The 4690-nt window shown below is 51.1% G+C and overlaps 1 annotated feature.

The window, feature by feature from the left end:
* Nucleotides 1641–2535: an enhancer, noted in NCBI's record as "H3K27ac-H3K4me1 hESC enhancer chr7:64540973-64541867 (GRCh37/hg19 assembly coordinates)". NCBI's record gives its function as "activates a minimal SCP1, AML or CMV promoter by ChIP-STARR-seq in primed H9 embryonic stem cells {active_cell/tissue: H9 hESC(primed)}" and the evidence as "EXISTENCE:reporter gene assay evidence [ECO:0000049][PMID:30033119]".

Here is a 4690-nt window from a genome sequence, read left to right on the forward strand (position 1 = left end):
TCCCAAGTAGCTGGGATTAGAGGCGCCCACCACCACACCCACCTAATTTTTGTATTTTTAGTAGAGACAGGGTTTCACCATATTGGCCAGGCTGGTCTCGAACTCCTGACCTTGTGATCCACTCGCCTCGACCTCCCAAAGTGTTGGGGTTACAGGTGTGAGCCACTGCGCCTGGCCTAATTCTTAATATTTAAACGGAAACTAACTTGTTCACTGTCACGTGTCATCTTTGCAGTGTACTATGGGATAAGTGTTATCTACGTTATTCAGATGAAGAATCTGAAATCCAAACAAGTTTGACTGACTCTGTCAGTCAGTGGATGAGCTTGGCCTGGAACTGAAATCCCTGGGCTCTTGAGCCAGTCTGTGCCTTTTCCATTACACTGGGCATAGCACTGAGAAATATAAGCAAATGCCAGTCACTCAACAGAACCCTCTTCTACATGCGGAAAGGGATTGGGAGAAGGGACATCATAGTAGAGAGTCCCTTAAATTCCCCTTATAGGCCAGGTGTGGTGGCTCACACCTCCAATGTGAGCTTCCTTTAGGAACCCGAGGCAGGATTGCTTGAGCTCAGGAGTCTAAGACCAGCCTGGCAACATAGGGAGACCCTATCTCTGCTAAAATAAATAAGTATATAAATATACATATTATATATATAAATGTATATATAACAATCCATCTTACCCTGACAATCTGCCTGCTGAAACTTACTAAACCATACCAAACTATATGAATTTATTTTTATTGTTATTATTTTTTTTTGAGACGGGGTCTGGCTCGTCACCCAGGCTGAAGTTCAGTGGTATGATCTCAGCTCAATACAGCCTCTGCCTCCCGGGCTCAAACCATCCTCCCATCTCAGCCTCCTGAGTAGCTCGGACTACAGGTGTGCACTATAATGCCCAGCTTATTTTGTGCTTTTGATAGAGACAGGGTTTTGCCCTGTTGCCCAGGCTGGTCTCGAACTCCTGGGCTCAAGCAATCCTTCTGCCTTGGCCTCCCAAAGTGCTGGGATTATAGGTGTGACCCACTATGCCTGGCCTTGAAAATCCATTTTATTTTATTTTTTTAATTTATTTATTTTTTTGAGACGGAGTCTCGCTGTCACCCAGGCTGAAGTGCAGTGGCACGGTCTCGGCTCATTGCAAACTATGCCTCCCGGGTTCACGCCATTCTCCTGCCTCAGCCTTCCCAGTAGCTGGGACTACAGGCGCGCGCCATCACGCCTGGGTAATTTTTTTTTGTGTGTATTTTCAGTAGAGACGGGGTTTCACCGTGTTAGCCAGGATGGTCTCGATCTCCTGACCTCATGAACCGCCCGCCTCGGCCTCCCAAAGTGCTGGGATTACAGGCGTGAGCCACCATGCCCAGCCGAAAATCCATTTTATTTATTTATTTACTTATTTAGGTGTGACCCACCATGCCTCGCCTTGAAAATCTTATTTATTTATTTAGAGACGGAGTTTTGCTCTTGTTGCCCAGGCTGGAGTGCAATGGCGCGATCTCGGCTCACTGCAACCTCCACCTCCCGGGTTCAAGCAATTCTCTGCCTCAGCCTCCCGAGTAGCTGGGATTACAGGCGCCCGCCACCACGCCTAGCTAATTTTTGTATTTTTAGTAGAGACGGGGTTTCACCATGCTGGCCAGGCTGGTCTTCAACTCCTGACCTGGTGATCCACCCACTCGGCCTCCTAAAGTGCTGGGATTACAGGTGTGAGCCACCGCACCCGGCCAGTCCCTTATATAAATTTTTAAAAAGATGTTTTCTTCGTTTCCTAGCCCCTTCTACCCACCTACAAAGTTCCAAAGGCTTTAATGCTATTGCAACGGCAGTCAGAGGTCAAGCTGGTGGGGGTGCGGTGCAGCTCCCTAACGCGGGGCAGCCTCAAAGGGGGCCGACCCTGCCCAGCACGAATGGCACCGGGCGGTGGGGGACGCTCCCGAGGTCCCGGGAACATGGCTGGGGGAAGTGTTGGGGGGTGCACATACCCAGGCTCAGCTGAGGCGAGTGCGCGGCCAGGGCTGCAGCTGGCGCTGGCTGGCACTTGCGCCGGCCATTGAGGAGCTTCTGGGCGACCCTGCACTCGTGCCTACCAGGCGCCAGCCGGTAGGTGCGCAGCGCCTGCTCCAGCAGCGTCAGGCCTTTGCTGCGCGGACCCCTCAGGCCGGGAAGTCACGCAGGTGGTAGTAGTCCAGGTGGTCGTAAACTCCTCCTCATAGCTTATGGGTGGTGGCGGCTGGGCTGAAGACGGCGGACAGGACATCCCGCCCGGCCGCCTGTGGTCACCCTCCCGCGCAGGCGCTCTCCTGGAAGACCCAGCACCTGGAGTTCCGATTGGCTCTGCGTGAGGGGCGGGCCTTTGCGACATCTTGGGGGGCGCCTTCGGTGACGTCACAGGGGCGGGCCTTCTGTCACGTCACAAGGGCTGTACAGTGCCTGGAGCTGGGCAGTCTTCTCAGAGTGGAGCCTGGTAACCGCGACCTCCCCGCCAGTTCCTGTGTGTTGCTGGCTGGAAAGGGGTAGTTGACAAACTCCCACCCAGCACAGTATTTATGTCGGTCAAAAATGGAAAACTATGTGTCCGGGCGTGGCCAGGAAGGAGGATCCCTTCAGGCCAAGAGCAGCCTAGCAATATGGCGCAACCCCACCTCTGTAGTCCAACCTCAGCCTCCCAGCTACTTGAACCCCAAGATTCAAGGCTCCAATGATCTGTGATCTCACCACAGCACTCCTGCCTGCGAGACTGAGGTAAACCCTGTATAAAAAAATAAAAAAGAAAACTATGCAAGTGTACAACCGGGAGGGACTGCTTAAAGAACACATGAGGCTGCCTGGGCCGTGCTATCCCGGCACTTTGGGAGGCCGAGGCAGGAGGATGGCTTGTGTTCAGGAGTTCGAGATGCGCCTGGGCAACATGACGCAACCCCGTCTCTACGGAAGATACAAAGATTAGCCAGGCGCGGTGCACGCTTGGCCTAATTTTTGTATCTTTCGTAGAGATGGGGGGGTCTTGCTATGTTGCCCGGGCCGGTCTCGAACTCCTGGGTTCAAGCGATCTTCTCACCTTGGCCTTTAGAGTTGTTGGGATTACAGGCGTGAGCCACCGCACCCTCCTGGGCTAGGCTATTTAATAACATAAGAAAGTGCGGTGGCTCACGCCTGTAATCCCAACACTTTGGGAGGCCGAGGCGGGTGGATCACCTGAGGTCAGGAGTTTGAGACCATCCTTGCCAATATGGTGAAACCCAGTCTCTACAAAAAAATACAAAAATTAGGCCGAGCGCGGTGGCTCACACCTGTAATCTCAGCACTTTGGGAAGCTGAGGCGGGCTGATCACCTGAGGTTGGGAGTTCAAGACCAGCCTGACCAACATGGAGAAATCCCATCTCTACTAAAAATACAAAATTAGCCGGGCATGGTGGTGCATGCCTGTAGTCCCAGCTACTCAGGAGGTTAAGACAGGAGAATCTCTTGAACCCAGGTGGCGGAGGTTGCAGTGAGCCGAGAAGCATCACTGCACCCTAGTCAGGGCGACAGAGCAAGACTCCAGAGCTTGAGACCAGCCTGGGCCATGTAGTGAAACCCTGTTTATACAAAACAAACAAAAAAAGCCAGGTGTACCTGTGTCCACCTGTGGCCCTGCTACTTAAGAGGCTGAGGCAGGAGGATAAGTTGAGGCCAGGAGCTGAAGGCTGCAGTGAGCTATGGTCATCCCACTGCTCTCCATCCTGAGCAATAGAATGAAACCTTGTCTCTAGATAGCTAGCTAGCTAGGTAATTGATACGTAGTTTTCTATCGGAAATCTTTTTCCTAGACTTGAACATGTTTTTCTAAAGTAGCATTCAACACATCAGCATTTTACAGTGTTATTAGTTGTTAATATGATTATGTTTTTCTGAAATACAGTATTCTTTACCAAAGCAGTGTTGTCTTTCAAAGCACATACATAGGTCCTCCAGTGAATTTGTCTGATGTTGGCGACCTTCACTTTCTGGTGACTGAGTCAACAGTATCTGTTTCATAAATAATGTAGCCCTATTTTTTTTGAGACAGGGTCTTGTTCTGTTACCTGGGCTGGAGTGCAGTGGCATGATCTCTGCTCACCATAACTACCGCCTCCTGGGTTCAAGCGATTCTCCTGCCTCAGCTTCCTGAATAACTGGGATTACAGGCGCCACCACATCTGGCTAATATCTTTTTGTTTTTGTTTTTGAAACGGAGTTCGCTCTTGTTGCCCAGGCTAGAGTGCAATGTCGCCATCTCGGCTTACTGCAACCTCCACCTCCCGGGTTCAAGCGATTCTCCTGCCTCAGCCTCCCGAGTAGCTGGGATTACAGGCATGCGCCACCATGCCTGGCTAATTTTGTATTTTTAGTAGAGACAGGGTTTCTCCATGTTGGTCAGGCTGGTCTTGAACTCCCTACCTCAGGTGATCCGGCCACCTCAGCTTCCCAAAGTGACAGGTGTGAGCCACCGCGCCCAGCCTAATTTTTGTATTTTTAGTAGAGATGGGGTTTCACCATGTTGGCCAGGATGGTCTTGAATTCCTGACCTCAAGTGACCTGCCTGCCTTGGCCTCCTAAAGTGTTGGAATTACAGGCATAAGCCAACATGCCCGGCCAACCCTATTTCTTTAAGCATATACATTTTGCACTTGTTAAAAGTATTTGAACATAAAATTATC

Source organism: Homo sapiens, chromosome 7, assembly GCF_000001405.40.
Source record: "Homo sapiens chromosome 7, GRCh38.p14 Primary Assembly".
Lineage (NCBI taxonomy): Eukaryota > Metazoa > Chordata > Mammalia > Primates > Hominidae > Homo > Homo sapiens.